Source organism: Homo sapiens, chromosome 12 (assembly GCF_000001405.40).
Source record: "Homo sapiens chromosome 12, GRCh38.p14 Primary Assembly".
NCBI lineage: Eukaryota > Metazoa > Chordata > Mammalia > Primates > Hominidae > Homo > Homo sapiens.
The window spans coordinates 81,231,504-81,252,388 of NC_000012.12; the positions used below are offsets into that span (position 1 = coordinate 81,231,504).

General features: G+C 34.3%; 1 protein-coding gene across 6 annotated transcripts in view; it reads left to right on the forward strand.

Annotated features, from left to right (window-relative positions):
- The window catches only part of ACSS3 (acyl-CoA synthetase short chain family member 3), a 183,340-nt gene that overhangs the window by 153,633 nt on the left and 8,822 nt on the right, over nucleotides 1–20,885 (forward strand). For 5 of the 6 annotated variants that reach the window (XR_944720.4, XM_047429549.1, NM_001330243.2 and 2 more), the window contains one exon: nucleotides 1,846–1,968. Coding sequence is in view for 4 of the 6 variants with exons in the window: in XM_047429549.1 (XP_047285505.1) it covers nucleotides 1,846–1,968 (123 nt within the window). In the remaining 2 variants the exon portion in view is untranslated. Of the gene's footprint in view, nucleotides 1–1,845; nucleotides 19,760–20,885 lie in introns of those variants that run through there. The other variant, XR_007063125.1, reaches the window with a different exon arrangement.

Sequence of the window (20,885 nt, forward strand, 5' to 3'; positions counted from 1 at the left end):
ATATAATGCCATTAGGACCCTTTAACCTCTTACTGGTTATATGAGCAAAATCCATTCAGCTTGCCCAGAAGTTGTATTTTTCCACTTCTTTATTTTTGACACCATTTTTTGAATGTTCTCTGAGCTCTTTATTTTTAAATCTCATTTTAAAAATACAGATACAGGACAGAAACAGTGTACTCAAAGCCCAACACCCAGCGTCCTGGATAACAAAAAGTGCCTTCCTGTTTCACATTCTGTCATTGTGTGAAACTTGTTACTCCATGCCATGGTGATGTGTGTTATGTTTATAACAGCACTTCATTAATAAAGCACATCAGGTTCTGCTCACATTATCTTTCTGTTGTCCCTCTACTACCACCCCCCACCCCCACCGCCTAACCCCAACAGGGACACCTGGTCCTCATTTTTCACTAAGTAAAATTCTGAATGAACAGAATTTCACTAAAAAAGTTTGCTGAAGTACTTAGCATTTTATCTTTATTATTTGTTAGTGAAGGACAGATAACCTAATCAACGAAATGAAAATAATTAAAATAGCTTTCTTTAGAAAGAAATTGCAGCATTGAATGTCCTCAATAGCCAAGATTAAACATCCCCTGATAGAGTGTGGCAGGGAAGATTTGTCAGTATAGTTGACTCCAGTAAGCCCAATCTATCTGCATGATGGGCCACAGTTAAATCATCAGAGTGCAGGTGGTGAGATGATTGATTATAGCCTGACAATGGCAAATGATATGTGCATGTGGTATTAACATGATCACCTTTAACACTAAAAGCTCCCTCAAAGCCCCTGTTTATGTCTACACTATGTGAAGTGACTCTGTACTCTGTCTTTTTACCTGATCTCAAACCTGTTATTTGAGGAATAATAACAGAATAATAACAGCACAGAAGGGTTGAGTAACTTCCCGTGAGTTCAAATAAGTGAGAAGTGATGGAACTGAGATGAACCAAAATAGTCAGGCTTGAGAGTTCATACTCTTAACTACTACTCTAGATTGCCTCTCTAATATTAATAAAAGTATTAATTGCAGTAAAATTATTGAGAGCTCAGGATGTGCCAGAGTCTGTCCTCTTTCATTTATATACACTGTTTCATGCATGCTTCACAGAAGCTTTAGAAGGCAGAACTCATTTTCCCATTTAACAGATGAGAATACTGAGTCTCAGAAAGTCTAAGAAACACAATAGTGGCTTTCCAGGATTTGTACTGAAGTCCATGTTCATAAACATAGGTATCAAAATAACTCAGAAGCATTAGGAAAAATAATATTTATTTTTTCTACTTTTTATTCTTATTATTCTTATTCTACTGTCATTTCTAGACCAGCAAAAATGTTTTACTTTGAGTGACTAAAAATTAAATTTCATACTTACTATTAAATTTCACTGAAGCTTGAGTCCAATCCTAACCCATATTAATAAACTACTGCTGTATTGGGAAATTATTCATTGGGAGCTTTAAAGCTTTTAAAAGTTAATACAATTAAAGAAGAAATGTATCAAAGAATTATTTTGCAATATCAAAGTATATTAGAATTAGTATTGAGCTATTACTTCTCCATTAAAAAAAGAAATTGGATTCATAAACTTTACAACTCTATATTCAAACACTTAAACATTTCTAAAAACACTTCAACTTATTCTTGGCTGTTAGAGGAGCAAAGAGATTCTAGTACAGTTTCCAGATAAAAAGTAGTGTAATTTCCTAGTCTAGTTACGAAAAACGGCAAATGTTCACAGTAAATCCATTTCTATTACATTGTGTGTTTTACCAAGTTTAAAATGATTACATTAGTTAACAGTACATGCTAATCAAATGTTATTTTTTCTTGTTTTCAGGGATATTATGATACCATGGATGCTGGTTACATGGATGAAGAAGGCTATTTGTATGTTATGTCTCGAGTGGATGATGTAATAAATGTTGCAGGTCACAGAATTTCTGCAGGCGCCATTGAAGAGGTATTGATGAATATTGGTATTCTATTCCAAGTAGTGCTTAGGCACAGAGCTGCACTGAAGACAATATTGAGGTTATTTCACTTGGAAAATTACCACACCCTTCATTTGCAGCAGAGGCTAGGTTACTCTTACATCTCTCCCACCTCACTTTCTCTTTTAGATATTCATATTCCCTACACTCCCACATCCCTGGGTGGTAGTGAAGAGTTTTAAACACTTACATATATTTTTTGTTTATGGGAAAGCCTGTGTACATTTGCTTCTTAATACTTGCTACTTGAATGCCTCTAGCTTCTTGATTTACTCGTGTTTAATCATCAGGTTTGCACATGGTCTTTAAGTGGTATGGGATTAAACATTTTATTGTACTCTTAAATCCTGAGAATTTTCTTCCAATGTAAGTCACATAAAGTCTCCAGAAGAGGTTTTTTAAAATGTTTTAAAAACTTATTCCTATGGAGTAAAATCTACATTATTGTTATACAATACTATGAGTATTTATACTAATACAGTTTCTTGTAACCATCACCACAGAAAGGATACAAAACAATTTCAACGCTGTCAAATAATTCCATCATAATGTCACCTGTCTATTCTGACTCTGGTACCCCTTATTTTTTTCTTTGTTCCTATGTTTTAGTCTTCTCTCCAATTTTATATAAATAGATGATACAGTATTGTAACCTTTGAGACTGGGTTATTTCATTTAGGAAAATACATTTTAGATTCTTCCAAGTTGTTGCATTTATTAAGAATTTGCCTTTTTATGTTGCTGTATAGAATTTCATCGTGCAGCTGTACTAACAAGTTTACGTATCCATTCATGCATTAAAGGACATATGGGTTATATCTAGTTTGCAGCAATTATAAATAGGGCTGTTATACACATTCAAATACAGGTGTTTGTGTAAAAAAATATTTTATTTCTCTAGGATAAATACTTAGAGTGGGTTTTCTGGGTTGTATATTAAGTGTATGTTTAAGGTTATGAGAAACCACCAAAGAGTTTTCCCGTGTGACTGTGCTATTTTACATAGCCACCAGCAGTATTTAAGGGTTCATACTTCTTCCCATTCTTTCTAGAACTTGGTCGTGTCATTACTCTTTATTAAACCATTCTACTCGGTGTGTAATAGTATCTCATTGTGCATGTGATTTGCATTTCTGTAATAACTAGTGATATTGAGCATCTTTTCACAAGCTTATTTGCCATCCATATACCTTTTTTGATGAGGTATCTGTTAAAATCTTCAGCCCATTTTTTTAAATTGGACTGTTTCTTTTTTATTGTTCAGTTTTGTAAGTTCTTTATATATTCTATATACAAGTCCTTTATCTGATATGCAGTTTGCAATTTCTTTTTCTAGTTTCTGACTGATCTTTTTATTTTATTAAAAGTGTCCATAACAGAGAAAAAAATACTTTTCATTTTGATGAATTCTAATTTATCATTTTTTTCTTTTACGGATTATGATTTTGGTATTGTATATAAAAATGCTTTCCTAACTCAGCATCACAAAGATTTTCTCTTTTGTTTTCATCTAAGAGTTTTATAGTTTTATGTTTTATATTCAGTTTTATTGTTTTACATTTATATCATTTTAAATTTAAATTTGAGTTAATTTTTTAATATAGTGCAAGGTGTAGGTTGATAAATAATTTTTTAAGTGGATGCCAGTTGTTCCAGCATCATTTGTTGAAAAAGCTGCCCTTTCTCTATTGAATTGCCATTGCAACTTTGTCAAAAATCAGATGATAATATTGGAGTGGGTCTGTTTCTAGAATATCTTTCTATTTCATTGATCTATGTTTTTTTTATGATGATCATGGAAAATATTTAATAGATTTTTTTATGTAGATCAATATAATTGATCTACATTATATTTTTATGAATATACTGCCTTGACACTGTAGCTATGTAGTGTATCTTAGAGTTGAATATTGTGAGTCCTCCACATCTGCTCTTCTTTCTTAGTCTTGTTGTAGCTATACTAGTTCCTTTAGGTATTCCACATACATATTAGCATAAAATTTTCTATAGGTACAATGAACCCATGCATAAATTTTGATTCAGATTGTGTTAAATCCATATATTGATTGGAGAAAAATTGCTATTTCAAACTTACTGAGTTCAATCCATGAGTTTTGTATATTTCTTTCTTTAGGATTTCTTTGGTATGTTTCTTAAATACTTTGTACTTTCTAGCATACAGATTCTGAACAAGTTTTGTTAAGTTTATATTTAAGTATTTAATTTTTTAGCTATTATACATTTTTTAAAAACTTTGGTTTGAAATTTTTCATTGCTAGTGGATAGAAATACTACTGATCTTTTTGCAGACTGATATGTAACCTATGATCTTGTTTAACTTGCTTGCTAGCTCTAGCGGTATTTTTGGTAGACTTGTTGAGACTTTCTGTGTAAACAATTATGTTACATGTGAATAAAAACAGTTTTATTACCTCCTTTCCAATCTGAATGCTTTTTTTGGTCTTTTTCTTGCCTTTTGGAACTGGCTAGAACTTGGGATAGGATGTTGAACAAGACTGGTAAGAGCAGACACCCTTGTCTTGATCCTGATCTTAGGGTAAAGGCAAGAATGGTGCTAACTGTAGGTATTTCTGTAAACACACACTTTATCAAACTGAATAATTGTTTTTGTATTTCTAATTTGCTGAAGTGTTATTTTTAATTATGAATGAATGTTGAATTTTATCAAATGCTTTTTCTGCCTCTATTAATAGGAATATGTGATTTTTCTTTTTAACAATGTTACGTGAATTACATTAAATAATTTTCAGCTTTTGAACCAGTCGTGCATTCCTGGGACAAACTTTAAGTGATTGCAATGAATTACTGTTTTTATACATTGATTCGTATAATTAATAATTATTGTTATTATTATTAATCAATAGTAATTTTCCTTATTCTGAAATCTACTGTTTGTAGTAATCATATAGCCATTCTTTTCTTTGAATCATGTTTGAATCATAGATCTTTTTTCATTTTTTCATTTTTAATCTATCTGTATTATGTTTCATGTGGGTTTCTTGTAGACAGCACCTACTTAGTTCATATGGACAGCATCTATTTGTTTTTATGTTTATCCAATCTGGCAATCTCCATCATTTAGTGTTTTCAGATAATTTACATTTAATTATTGATATAGTTATATATCTGCCTACCAGTTTATTATTATTCTTTTTGATTCTTCTCTTTTTCATTCTCTTATTTCATTCTCCCCCTTCTCTCTTTTAACTTATTTTGGTTCTTTTTTTGTAGCTTTTATTAATTTGTGAGAACGTCTATGATTCCATTCATACCAAGAGTTTTTGCACATTCTTCTTGGGCCATGGTTATTGCTTGGTTTTTAATATTCATCTTTGACAGTTTTTTTTATAAGAGTGTCATTTCCACCTTACCCTAGGTCTTATTATGACCCAATGAAAGCTAATGGCAATTTTTCCTACATGAGTAGCCAGATTCTCCATAAATGAAAGTTTAAAAAATGATTTTTCTCTACTTAAAAGGGAGGGAGGCAGCCGTCCTTCCTGAAGGCTCTTCTTAAAAACATAATGTCTTTAATCAAAACTCTAATTCTTTAATATATAAGTAAAATAGCCCCAGGAGCCAGACCGCCCTGTGCATCTCCAGTTTTACAACATAGAAATGTTTCTAACTCCTGGGAATTAATCTCTTTTTAGCAGGTAAATACCCAAGAAGATAGTGAGCCAATCTCCCCAGCTTCTTGGGAGTTTATACTAGGGATCTAGTCTGGACTATACACATTTGGCCTTGACAGATAAATTAAAGTTTTATTATCCTTTAAGATCTGAGCAATTCATTAGGCAAATCACTATAGGTCTAATTTTTCAGATGTTTCAAGAGTCTCAGGAGGCTAGGGCTTTTATAGGAGCACTGGTAAATTTAGAGGTTTATTTCTCCATAGTTATAATATTTAAGTTAAATTTTCTGATAATTCTGATATTTAGGTAATGTTGGGTTTGGTATCTAGGGATTGTCTTTTTTTCTTAAAAGATGTTTAGATTTTCCTGATAAATGTCTATTTTAAATCTTATCCCGAGTATTTTGAATATTACATCATGAGGTTCTGGATCCTATTTAAATCTTCTGCATTTCTGTTCTTGTGGCTATTTATTTTAGGAAGTGGTCAGCCCAGTTAGGATCAGACTACATAGCTTTACCCACTTTCTGTGGACTGTGGTTTCAATGTTAATTTGATTTTCAAAGCTTTTGTCTATTTGGATATTCTACATATATACGATCAGGTTGTTTGCAAACAAATACAGTTTTATATCTTCTTTCTCAGTCTGTATACCTTTTATATTCCTTTCTTGTCTTATTGCACTACCTAGTTCAGTGTTGTCTTTCTTGCCTTGTTGCACTAGCCAGTATGATGTTGAAAATATAGTTGAGGGTGGACATCCTTGCCTTGTTCCAGATCTTAGTGGGAAAGTTTTGAATTTCTCACCATTGAGTATGATGTAAGCTCTAGGTTTGTTTGTAGATGGTTCATCACGAAATTGTGGAAGTTCCCCTCTATTCGTAGTATACTTAATATTTTTATCATGAATGGGTATTGGATTTTGTCAAATGTTTTACTTTTTCTGCATGTACTGATATGATCATGTAATTTTTCTTCTTCAGCCTATTGATGCGATGGATTACTTTGATTATTGAATTTCGAACCAGCTTTGTATACCTGGGGTAAATTCCACCTGGTCATGGTACATAACTCTTTCCACACATTGGCATCTATGCTCATGATGGCCTCTGTCAATAGTTTTTTTTAATTGTCTTATTTTAGTATTAATACAATGGGAATATTTTCTAACTTATTCTATGGGGCCAGCATTGTTCCAGTTCCATAGATTGAGTTAGAAAATATTCCCATGACTTCTGTCATTGGAACGACAGATTGTAGATAATTGGTCTAATTTATTCCTTAAATGGTAGAATTAACTGATGAATTGGTAGAATTCACCAACGAACCTATCTTCACCTGGTACTTTCAGTTTTGGAAGTTTATTAATTGTTGATCTAATTTTTAATAAATATAGGCCTATTCAGATTGTCAATTTCTTCCTGTGTAACTTTTGTCAGATTGTGTCTTTCAAGAAATTAGTTTATTTTGTCTAGGTAATCAAATTGGTGGGCATAGACTTATTCATAATATTCCTTATTATCTTTTTAATGTCCATGATCTGTAGTAATATGTCCTCTTTCATTTCTGGTTTTAGTAATTTGTCTCTTCCTTTTTTTTTCCTTAGCCTGGCTAGAGGTTTATTGATTTTATTGATATTTTAAAGGAATAGCTTTTGGTTTTATGGTATTTTCTATTGATTTATTTTTGATTTAATTTATTTCTCCTCTAATTTTTATAATTTATTTTATTCTGCTTACTTTGAATTTAATTTGGTCTTCCATTTTCTAGTTTCCTAAGGTGAAAGTTTACATAATTGATTTTAGATCTCTCTTCTTTTCTAATATGTGAATTCAGTGCTATAAATTTTCCTGTGAGCATGCTGTTGCTGCATCCCATAAATATTGATGTTATATTATAATTTTCATTTAGTTAAAATATGTTTAAATTTTTCTTGAAATATCTTCTTTGACTCATGTGTTATTTAGAAGTGTGTTGTTTAATCTCCAATAATTTGTGATTTTACACCTATCTTTCTGTTATTGATTGCTAGTTTAATTCCATTATTACCTCAGAACAGATGTTGTATGATTTATATTCTTTTTAAAATTTTAAGGTGTGTTTTATGGCCCAAAATGTAGTCTGTCTTGGTGACTGTTCCATTTAAGTTTGAAAAAAATGTGTAATCTTCATTCAACAATTTCATTCAGAGACAAGGAAAAAACATAAATCAGATATTTAGTTCAACAAAAATAAAGGAAGAACATCAGAAATGAATAAATGAAGGTGTATTAGTCTGTTCTCACACTGCTAGTAAAGACATACCTGAGACTGGGTAATTTATAAAGGAAAGAGGTTTAATTGACTCATAATCCCATATGGCTGGGGAGGCCTCACAATCATGGCAGAAGGAGAATGAAGAGCAAAGTCATGTCTTACATGGCGGCAGGCAAGAGGGAGTGTGCAGGGGAACTCTCTTTATAAAACCATCAGATCTTGTGATACTTATTCACTATCATGAGAACAACACAGAAAAGATTCACCCCCATGATTCAGTTACCTCCCACCAGGTCCCTCCCATGACACATGGGAATTATGGAAGCCACAATTCAAGATGAGATTTGGATGGGTACACAGCCAAACCGTATCAGAAAGTAAAATAAAACATTTTAATTTTCTTGTTCTCAATTTATCTCAAAAATAACAGTTTGTTCATACTAATAACAGCAACAATATGTGTGCATATATGCACATACATATATATATGCTTATGTATAAGCAAAATAAATGACAGCAGTGATACAAGGGCTAGAAGGGAGGAATTAGGAATTTTTGTTATTATAAGGTACTTGCTTTGTCTATGAAGTGTTATTTGAGTGTGGACTTTTTTTTCTTATTCTTAATTATTAGTTGTTGAATGAAGTGGCCTATTGATGTCAATTTTATTCAGTTGATTGATGGTACTGTTGAACTGAACTATGTCCTTACTGATTGTGTGCCCAGTGGATCTGTAAATTTCCAACACAGGAGTGTTAAAGTCTTGAACTATAATAGTTGATTCATCTGTTTCTCCTCCCAATTCTATCAGTTTTGCCTGACATACTTTGATGCCCTAAGGATCATCATGCCTTCTCGGGTTATTGACCTCTTTATCATTATGTAATGCTCCTCTTTATTCTTGATACATTTTCTTGCTCTGAAGTCTTCTGTGCTTGAAATTAACATAACTACTCCTACTTATAAAAATTAGCATGGTATAACTTTCTCCATCCCTTTACTTTTAATCTATATGTATTGTTATATTTAAAATGGGTTTCTTTCAGAAAACATATAATTGAGTCTTGTTTTTGATCTACTCTCTGACATTCTGCCTTTTAATTGGTATATTTAGATCATTGATATTAAGTGATCATTAATATAACTGAATTAACATTTACCAGATTTGTTACAGTTTTCTATTTGTTGCCCTTACTCTTTGTTTCTATTTCTGTCTTTCTTTCTCTGCATTTTGTGGTTATAATTGAACATTTTATATTATTTCATTTTGCTCTCCTTTCTTAACATATTAAATATACTTCTTTTAACTTGTTGTGGTGGTTGCCCTAATGTTTGCAATATATGTTTACAACTAACCAAATCCAGACTCAAATAATACATATTACTTCATGGGCAGAGCAAATACCTTATGATAGCAAAATATTTCTTTTTTTTTATTATACTTTAAGTTTTAGGGTACATGTGCACCATGTGCAGGTTAGTTACATATGTATACATGTGACATGCTGGTGCACTGCACCCACTAATTCATCATCTAATATTAGGTATATCTCCCAATGCTATCCCTCCCCCCTCCCCCCACCCCACAACAGTCCCCATGTGTGATGTTCCCCTTCCTGCATCCATGTGTTCTCATTGTTCAATTCCCACCTATGAGTGAGAATATGTGGTGTTTGGTTTTTTGTTCTTGCGATAGTTTACTGAGAATGATGATTTCCAATTTCATCCATGTCTGTACAAAGGACATGAACTCATCATTTTTTATGGCTGCATAGTATTCCATGGTATATGTGTGCCACATTTTCTTAATCCAGTCTATCATTATTGGACATTTGGGTTGGTTCCAAGTCTTTGCTATTGTGAATAGTGCTGCAGTAAACATACATGTGCATGTGTCTTTATAGCAGCATGATTTATAGTCCTTTGGGTATATACCCAGTAATGGGATGGCTGGGTCAAATGGTATTTCTAGTTCTAGATCCCTGAGGAATTGCCACACTGACTTCCACAATGGTTGAACTAGTTTACAGTCCCATCAACAGTGTAAAAGTGTTCCTATTTCTCCACATCCTCTCCAGTACCTGTTGTTTCCTGACTTTTTAGTGATCGCCATTCTAACTGGTATGAGATGATATCTCATTGTGGTTTTGATTTGCATTTCTCTGATGGCCAGTGATGGTGAGCACTTTTTCATGTGTTTTTTGGCTGCATAAATGTCTTCTTTTGAGAAGTGTCTGTTCATATGCTTCACCCACTTTTTGATGGGGTTGTTTGTTTTTTTCTTGTAAATTTGTTTGAGTTCATTGTAGATTCTGGATATTAGCCCTTTGTCAGATGAGTAGGTTGCGAAAATTTTCTCCCATTTTGTGGGTTGCCTGTTCACTCTGATGGTAGTTTCTTTTGCTGTGCAGAAGCTCTTTAGTTTAATTAGATCCCATTTGTCAATTCTGGCTTTTGTTGCCATTACTTTTGGTGTTTTAGACATGAAGTTCTTGCCCGTGCCTATGTCCTGAATGGTAATGCCTAGGTTTTCTTCTAGGGTTTTTATGGTTTTAGGTCTAACGTTTAAGTCTTTAATCCATCTTGAATTGATTTTCATATAAGGTGTAAGGAAGGGATCCAGTTTCAGCTTTCTACATATGGCTAGCCAGTTTTCCCAGCACCATTTATTAAATAGGGAATCCTTTCCCCATTGCTTGTTTTTCCTCAGGTTTGTCAAAGATCAGATAGTTGTAGATGCAATAAAAAATGATAAAGGGGATATCACCACTGATCCCACAGAAATACAAACTACCATCAGAGAATACTACAAACACCTCTACGCAAATAAACTAGAAAATCTAGAAGAAATGGATAAATTCCTCGACACATACACTCTCGCAAGACCAAACCAGGAAGAAGTTGAATCTCTGAATAGACCAATAACAGGAGCTGAAATTGTGGCAATAATCAATAGCTTACCAACCAAAAAGAGTCCAGGACCAGATGGATTCACAGCCAAATTCTACCAGAGGTACAAGGAGGAACTGGTACCATTCCTTCTGAAACTATTCCAATCAATAGAAAAAGAGGGAATCCTCCCTAACTCATTTTATGAGGCCAGCATCATCCTGATACCAAAGCTGGGCAGAGACACAACCAAAAAAGAGAATTTTAGACCAATATCATTGATGAACATTGATGCAAAAATCCTCAATAAAATACTGGCAAACTGAATCCAGCAGCACATCAAAAAGTTTATCCACCATGATCAAGTGGGCTTCATCCCTGGGATGCAAGGCTGGTTCAATATACACAAATCAATAAATGTAATCCAGCATATAAACAGAACCAAAGACAAAAACCACATGATTATCTCAATAGATGCAGAAAAGGCCTTCAACAAAATTCAACAACCCTTCATGCTAAAACCTCTCAATAAATTAGATATTGATGGGATGTATCTCAAAATAATAAGAGCTACCTATGACAAACCCACAGCCAATATAATACTGAATGGGCAAAAACTGGAAGCATTCCCTTTGCAAACTGGCACAAGACAGGGATGCCCTGTCTCACCACTCCTATTCAACATAGTGTTGGAAGTTCTGGCTAGGGCAATTAGGCAAGAGAAGGAAATAAAGGGTATTCAATTAGGAAAAGAGGAAGTCAAATTGTCCCTGTTTGCAGATGACATGATTGTATATCTAGAAAACCCCATTGTCTCAGGCCAAAATCTCCTTAAGCTGATAAGCAACTTCAGCAAAGTCTCAGGATACAAAATCAATGTACAAAAATCACAGGCATTCTTATACACCAATAACAGACAAACAGAGAGCCAAATCATGAGTGAACTCCCATTCACAATTGCTTCAAAGAGAATAAAATACCTAAGAATCCAGCTTACAACGGACGTGAAGGACCTCTTCAAGGAGAACTACAAACCACTGCTCAATGAAATAAAAGAGGATACAAAGAAATGCAAGAACATTCCACGCTCATGGGTAGGAAGAATCAATATCGTGAAAATGGCCATACTGCCCAAGGTAATTTGTAGATTCAATGCCATCCCCATCAAGCTACCAATGACTTTCTTCACAGAATTGGAAAAAACTACTTTAAAGTTCATATGGAACCAAAAAAGAGCCTGCATCGTCAAGTCAATCCTAAGCCAGAAGAACAAAGCTGGAGGCATCACGCTACCTGACTTCAAACTATACTACAAGGCTACAGTAACCAAAACAGCATGGTACTGGTACCAAAACAGAGATATAGATGAATGGAACAGAACAGAGCCCTCAGAAATAACGCCACATATCTACAACTATCTGATCTTTGACAAATAGCAAAATATTTCTAATTCCTCCCTTGTAGCTCTTGTATCACTGCTGTCATTCACTTGCTAGCACATTAGCATATACACATGCGCATATACACACATTGTTGCTATTATTATTTTGAACAAACTTATCTGTGAGGTAAATTGAGAACAAGAAAAATAATTTTTTTATTTTACATTTGTTTATTCATTTCTGATGCTCTTCCTTTATTTTTATTTATACAAATTTCTGACGTATATTATTTTCCATGTCTCCAAATAACTTAACATTTCTTGCAAAGCAGGTCTACGGGCAACACATTACCTCAATTTTTTTCTTTTGTCTAAAAAAGTCTTTATTTCTCCTTAATTTTTGAAGGATAATTTTCCACAATATAGCAATCTGGAATTCTGTAATTCTAGAATTAATGGTGCTTTTTTCCCTCTTGACACTTTAAATATTTCGCTCCACTCTCTTCTTGTTTACATGGTTCCTAAGGATAAGTCACATGTGATTCTTATCTTTGCTTCTCTATAGGTAAGGTGTTTCTCCCTCCACTCTGGCTTTCTCTAGAATTTTTTTCTTTATCTTAGATTGTTTGAAATTTGAGTATGATATGCCTACATGTAGGATTTTTTTTTTTACATTTATCTTGCTTGATGTTTTCTGCAATTCCTGGATCTATGATTTTGTGTCAGCATTAATTTGGGGGAAACTCTCAGTCATTATTTCTTCATATATTGCTTCCATTTCTTTCTTTTCCTCTCATTACCGCTATTATGTGTTTGTTACAGCTTTTCTATTTGTTTTGAAGTTCTTGGATATTTTGTTCTGTTTGGAGATTTCTTTTCCATCTTTTTTCTCTTTGATTTTTGGTTTTGGAGGTTTCTATTGATACATCCTCAAGCACCAAGATTCTTCTTTCACCTACATCTAGTTTACAAATAAGTCCATCAGAGACATTCTTTATTTTTGATACAGTGATATTGCTTTGTAGCATTTTAAAAATTCTTTCTTAGAATTTTAATCTCTCTGCTCAGCTTACATTAATCATCTATTATTGCAAGTTGTCTACTTTTTCCATTAATGCCCTTAACATATTAATCGTAGTTTTAAAAAATATCATGTTCAGATAATTCCAATATTCCTGTCATATGAAACTCTGTTTCTAATGCTTCTTCAGTCTATTCAAACTGTGTGTGTGTGTGTGTGTGTGTGTATTTGTGTGGTTTGTTATTTATTTTACCTTTTAGTATGCCTTGTAATTGCCTGTTGAAATACTGACATGATGTACTGTGTAAAAAGAACTTCAGTAAGTAGGCCTTTGCTGGTGTATTGGTAAGATGCAGGGGGAGGAGAAGTATTCTGTACTCCTATGATTAAATCTTAGTTGTTTCATGAACATGTATCCTTGGACTGTGAACTTCATCAGTTCTTTGTAGATTTTTCCCCTCTTAAAATAGGATGAGGGCTGGCGCGGTGGCTCACGCCTGTAATCCCAGCACTATGGGAGGCCGAGATGGGTGGATCACGAGGTCAGGAGATCGAGACCATCCTGGCTAACACAGTGAAACCCCGTCTCTACTAAAAAATACAAAAAATTAGCCAGGCGTGGTGGTGGGCGACTGTAGTCCCAACTACTCGGGAGGCTGAGGCAGGAGAATGGCGTGAACCCGCAAGGCGGAGCTTGCAGTGAGCTGAGATCGCGCCACTGCACTGCAGCCTGGGTGACAGAGTGAGACTCTGTCTCAAAAAAACAAACAAACAAAAAATAGGTTGAATAAAGGGGGCTGGAATTGGATATTTCCTTTCTCCTATGTCAGTTAGGCTCTGAGAAAACTCCAGCAGTTAGGTTCTGTTACAGAATAGTTTCTTTTAAGGGTAGGCCCTGGAAAAAGGAACACAGTGTTTTGTCATACAGCTCGGGTTTTACAACCTTGGCACTTGTTCCTGTAGAGGTTTCTGCTCCAATAAATTGTGTTTTTCTCTATTTACTTGTCTGCCTCTACAGTTTTGGGGGAGTGGTTTTCCCTGTGAACTTCCTCTCTGACAAATCTAAGAAGAATTGTTTCTGTTATTGTTTTTTATTTTTTTTCAGTTTGTTTAACTTTCTACTTGTTAGAATGGAGTGGTGAATTCGAAGCTTCTTACTTGTAGTACCAAAACCAGAGGTCCCTTTTCCCTCTTTGGTTCACAAAACTCTCCTTTGCTGTTCTTATGGGTAATGAGTCAGGGCTTTGTCTCCCCACAGTTACCAGGATTATTCCTGCAACGTCTACAGGAACAGTGCCTCTGGGGAGAGGAAGGGGTCTTGTCTCTTTGCTGGCAGTTGCCTAACACATGCCAGGGTAAGTCAACAGCGACCCACTCTCAGGAGCAGCATGGCTGCTGCTGCAGAGAGCAAGTGGCACTGATCCTTTCTGGGTTCTCTTGGTTTAGGGTAGGAGAGTACCCAGGGCTCCCTCCTGTAGGATGTGTTGTACAGCTAGTGTGGAGAAGGGAAGGGGCACACCTTAATTGCTGACATTTACTTGGTGTAAGGTGTGGAGAGGTAACAAATTTTCTGCAGCTCTGTAGAGAGAGGGGTGGGCCCTGCTTCTTCGTTGTCACTTATCTGAAGTAGGGAGGACAAAACCTGTTTTATGACTCCCCTACTTGTTTTCCTGGGCCTCTGACCAGACACAGCAGGCTCTTAGGGCTTTTTCTGTCTGTACTCATTGTCAGTTACACATGCTGAGCTGCTTTAGTCCTCGGGCCAGATTATACAGAAAGTAAAGCAAACAAATGAACAAAAATAACAAAATCCCCAAACTTCCAAATGACAGTGAACTCATCACCAAGTTGTATTTCAAGTTCTTATGTTCTGACTGAGTCTACCAATATATATTTTAGCCCAGAGTTTTTCATTGTTATTGTGGAAGATATAAGTTACTTCATTTTTTTCTAGAAGCAAACCCCAGAATAGTTTTTAAACTGAATGGAGCAAACAAACTACAATTTGAATGAAAGAAAATGTTTAAAGTAACATGATTAACAATTCACTGTGATCAGAGTATGCAGAGTCAAAGTTTTATTTCCTCTTTCTCTAATTAAAAGAGGATCAGAAAAAATAGCTATTGGGTACTAGGCTTAGTACCTGGGTGATGAAATAATCTGTACAACAGACTCCTGTGACATGAGTTTATTTCTATAGCAAACGTGCTTATGTACCCCCGAATCTAAAAGTTAAAAAAATTAAAAATTAAAAAAGTTTGTACCTATCTTCAGTTCAAACTTAACAGCTTAATACTTCTTGTCATGTTGGGATGTGTTTCTTAAATGTGATTTTTTTTGAGTAAAAGGAAGGAACTTTATATTTTAGAACATTTCACCTTTGTGTGCTATTATAATATTATCTTGTTTTTAAACGACTCTAAATTTTGTGATAACCTGAAATTGAAATTTTTACTTCATGTCTTTTGGTGTGTTGGCAAAAGATGGTTCTGGTTGCATGAACTTTTAATTTCCTCCTTCTAAGAGATTACTTCCAATATTCACCTGCATTTCCGGCAGACTCAGTCAATCAAAATATGAAAATTTTGTATGCATAGTTATTATTATTAGTCAAAAACCTTAGTCTTTTTTTGTTTTTAGAATGAAAAGAGGAGTATCAACCTATTCAAAGATATGTTGTGTTTTAATGCTTCTACTGAAATCCTTCTCACTGTATGTAACAGCAGAATGAGATAGGCAGAAAATAGGCAGTTAAAATGGAAAAAGAGAAAAACATGCTAGAATTATTGGCATCTAACAGAAACTTTGTCACTGGGTCTTGGAGTATTTAGGGTGCATAACAGGAAACCATTCAGACCTTAAATCTTTAAGTTAACTTCTCTCTATATATGAATTAAATGACTAAGTTTTTATTAAGTATTTATATTTGATAAGAAAATTCTATCTCAGTTTAAATCAGATTTGTCTTCTCTGTCTTTGAAATCTCTTAGAGAATTGTGAACTGATACTTTATACTGACTTTTTACTAGCTCCTAGCAATATTGCTTAGCAAATTGATTATTTCCTTCTGAAATGTTTGATGATGTATCCAGCTCTTATTAAAGTGCCCAAACCTTACTATTTAACTACTTGACAAGGGTTGCCAGTGGTGAATACCATATTCCACTTTAACTTTTTGGAATAGGAATTGAGGTCTTAATCCAATGAAAGTTTTATTTGTAGAAAAAAATAGACTGAATATTGTTTTTAAGTACAGTAAAAATATCTACACTTTTCCAGTTTCCCTAAGTAAACATTTTATGAGTAATTATTAGAAAGACAAAAAAGTGTGTAAGTTATTGTTAGAAAGTCATTCATGCTTGCAAGGATGTAGAGAAAAGGGAACTCATACACGGTTAGTAGGAATGTAAATTAGTACAGCCGTTATGGAAAATAGCATGGAGATTTTTCGAAAAACTAAAAGTAGAACTACCATAAGGTCTTGCAATCCCACTACTGGGTATTTATCCAAAGGAAAATAAATTAGTATGTCAAAGGGCTACATTTACCCCCATGTTTGTTGCAGCAGTGCTCAAGTAGCAAAGATATAGAATCAACCTAAGCGATCATCAACAGATGAATGAAGAAATAAAATATGGTAAATGTGCATAATAGAATAATACTTGGCCATAAAGAAATAATAAAATCCTGCCATTTGCAGCTATTTGGATGGAACTGGATTTCATTATGTTAAGTGAAAGGATCCAGGCACAGAAAGACAATATCTATCCTCATTCATATATGGGATCTGGGATAGTTTATCTTACAGAAACAGAGAGTAGAATGATACCAGAGGCTGAGAAGGGTATGTGTGTGTCAAGTGGTGAAAGGACATGAAAAGAGATCGGTTAATGGGTACAAATAAACAGTTAGATAGAAGGAATAAGTTCTAATATTCAGTAGCAAAGTAGAGTGTCTATAGTTAATAACAATGTATAGTTCAAAATAGCTAGAAATTAGGACTTGGAACGTTTTCAACACACAGAAATGATAAATACTCGAAGTGATGGATACCTTAAGTACCCTGAATTGATCATTACACACTCTATGCATGTAACAAAATATCACATGTACCCTATAAATATGTACAAATATTTGTACCAATAAATTTATAAAAAGAATTTCGAGTACAAAAAAACCGTAAAATTTATATTACCTAAATCAAGCAGATATTCTATTAAAATTATTACACCAAAAATATTTCAGGGAACTCTATTTTCTTTTCTGTTCTCATCATAAGAAAATGGAGCTCTAGAATAGCTTTTTATCAATTTAAGAGGACAGTATCCTTGCAGATCCAAGTAAAAATGAGGGCCTTCTTTAACTATTAAGTAATAATCAAGTCTATTTTTAAAGTGTTGATTAGTTTTTGAAAGCCCAGCATTGAGCTAGACATTTAGGAAACTTTGATGGAGGTTAAGGAGTTCTTAGAAAAATTGTGTCTAAAATCTGCTAGTTCTGCACTTGTAAGCTAAAATTTGCAGAAGCTAATATGATTGTTCTTGCTCAGTTCTCTTTGACTGCTGTGGCTTTTCATGTGAAGAAACCTTCAGGCGTTTTCATACAAAGAAATGTACAGGAAACAAATTGGGCTCTCTAATTTCACTCTTTCACTTGTAGCTTAAGTGTAGGTTTCTTAAATAATCCCACTAATATTTGTGGGAACTTGGAAATCTGGTGTTAACATACTGTCTTTAAAGCCTACTCAGGACACGGTTCACATGCCTTTTGCCTTTTTGAGGGTTGTTCTAACCAAAGTGTCACTATTTGTTTTCCAAGGTAGCTATTTTGTTTGCTATTTTAGGAATGATTCTTCAACATTGAATATATTTCCATAAAGTGACTGTGTATCCAGCTAAGATGCCTTGCCATTTCAATTCTACCAAGCATTAAATGACTATTGGATTTAAGTAGTTGCAACATTGCTGAATAGTTCCTGAGTATTCACATGAATATTGATGAGTATCTGGAATCTCTCTGACAAGTTTCCTAGATTACTTCAGTGTCAGAGGAAATTTTTAAAAATCTGTCTTCTTCGAACCATTGCATAGACAATATTGCACTGCAAACTGGCTCCTCCCATCTTATGAGGGTGTTTGATTTGAACTGATTTTTTAAATTAAGATTCTTAAAAATGTAATTGAAAAACCTGTGTAGGTCAGCTCAGTGAAATCTTAAAATATTTTAAATTCATTAAAATCTATGCAAAATTGGCAATACCTAAGAAACAACAGATGACAGGAATTTACTAGTCCTAATCTCATAACATTTATATACTCAATTGTGGTGAGACTATTGCCTTTTAAGTTCCATGACTTTTTTAGGTACTTAAATGCCAGTTAATCACAGATGCTTCGTAGATTTTATTTGGAGGGAATGCATTAATGTGGTTTTTGATATTTTTCCCCCCATAGGACATTTGGTTGGCTTCTGTCCCTTGAATGTTGCCAAGACATATTTCAACGCTTTCCCTTTTAATGATTCAGTTGTTGAAATCATCACTTGGCATGCAAATAATATTTATGGGGCCAACATAAAAAGCTACCACCCTTCCTTTATGGCATTTTAAAAACTGATAGATGAATAATATTTGATTTCACTCAGATATGACACATAATTCTTGAAAATGATTTTGCGTCTCATAATTTTTAAGAATTTATCTGCAGTAGGCAAAAATGGGAAACTGTAATATTATATTATAGGAAATGTTGTATATTTCTTCCGATTTTAAAATACTCCTTGCTTTTATAGAAAAACAATCAACATTTTCCCATCCGCTTCTAAAAGCACTAAGACTAAGGACAAAAACTTAGTAAAATTTAAAATAACAAAGTGAAAGAGTGGCAGACTAGATGTTTTGACATTAAATTTAGTTAAAACTCTAGTCATATTGGTTAGGTGACAAAATATGTGGGTGATTTATTTTTTAACAGTGATTTGAACAGATACCTTGGCATTTTAGGAACTCAGGTACAGAGAGTCATGGCACCAATAAACACTAATAATTTTTGACGATTAAAACTCTGGTTAGCCAAGAAAAAGAGATGTTCTTCACTCATTAAGGGAATACCAAGTCAGAATTCATAGCATCTAACTTTCCAAGTCTATATCCTATCTGGTACAGCAAAGTATTATTTTTCATGACTAATGACTGACTACAGTAAGTACTAAAACATATATCTGGCAGTAAAAGTTGTCTCTCTGATCTCACCACATCTTTTTATTCTTACTATCACGACCTTAACCTACTGTAGTATCCTTTCAGGTGGTTTTCCTATATAAGCTGTGTCACCCACTCTCAACAATTCTTTATTTATTTTCCACGATGAAACTAAAATAAGTCTGTGCTTTTCAGAATCCACTCTGAAGTGAAAGAAGCTAATCTGAAAAGGCTACATACTGAGTGATTCCAATTATAACATTCTGGAAAAGGACCTTGAAGACAATATAAAGATCCATGGTTGCCAAGGGTTAGGGGAAAGGGAAGGGATGAATGAGCAGAGCACAGGGAGTATTTGGGTCAGTAAAACTATTCTGCGTGATACTATAATGGTGGATACCTGTCTTATACATTTGACAAAACTCAGGCATGTACAGAGTAGACCATAATGTAGTAATGTAAACTATGAACTAGGATGATAATTGTATGCCAATTTTGGTTCATCAGTTACAACAAATGTATTGCTCTGGTACAAACTTTTGATAATGGGGGAGGCTATGTATATGTAGTGGTAAGATGTATATGAGAATCCTACTTTCTTAGTTGATATTGCTATGAATCTAAAACTACTTTAAAAAATAAACATAGCTGGGCGTGGTAGCTTATGCCTGTAATCCCAGCACTTTGGGAGGCCGAAGCAGGTAGATTGCTTGAGCCCAGGAGTTTGAGACCAGCCTAGGGAACATGGCGAAACCCCATCTCTACAAAAAAAAAAAAAAAATACAAAAATTTAGCCAGCCATGGTGGTGTGCACCTGTAGAACCAGCTGTTGAAGAGGCTGAGGTTGGAGGATCACCTGAGCCTGGGAGATTGAGGTTGCAGTGATCTATGAACATGCCAGCGCACTCCAGCTTAGGTGGCAGAGTGAGATCTTGTCTCAAACAAATAAACATACAAACAAACATAAAAACCCGATATTAAATCTGCTCTGATCTTGCATCTCCTTCTCAACTACTGAAAATGATTTATCACCTTCCCAGGAATGCTAAAATGAGTTGGAAGTTCCTAGCACAATACCTATCCACCTCTGTAACTCCATCTCCTCCATTCTCACTCTTTTTGTTCTCTGCTTTCCAGCCACATTGGTCTCTTTGAGGTATGAATGGTGCCTATGAAGTCCTTCCCCAGGGTTTTTGCCCCAACCCCTTCTCCTTGCCTAATAAATATCTACTCATCCTTCAGATCTACTCATTGTTATTTCCTAAAGAAAAAGTTTTTGAGGCCCATATCTTTCTGCAAAATTGGTTGCTTTTGCTGTATCTTTCATATAAAAAAAATTCCCCAGAGCCCTTATCACTTTTGTATTTAGACATTTAGAATAGATATTCATAATTATTTATTAATATCTGTCTCCACTACTAGACTGAAAGCATCTTGAAGCAATACGCTATTTTTGATCACCCCTGAACCCAGCGAATGTTTGCA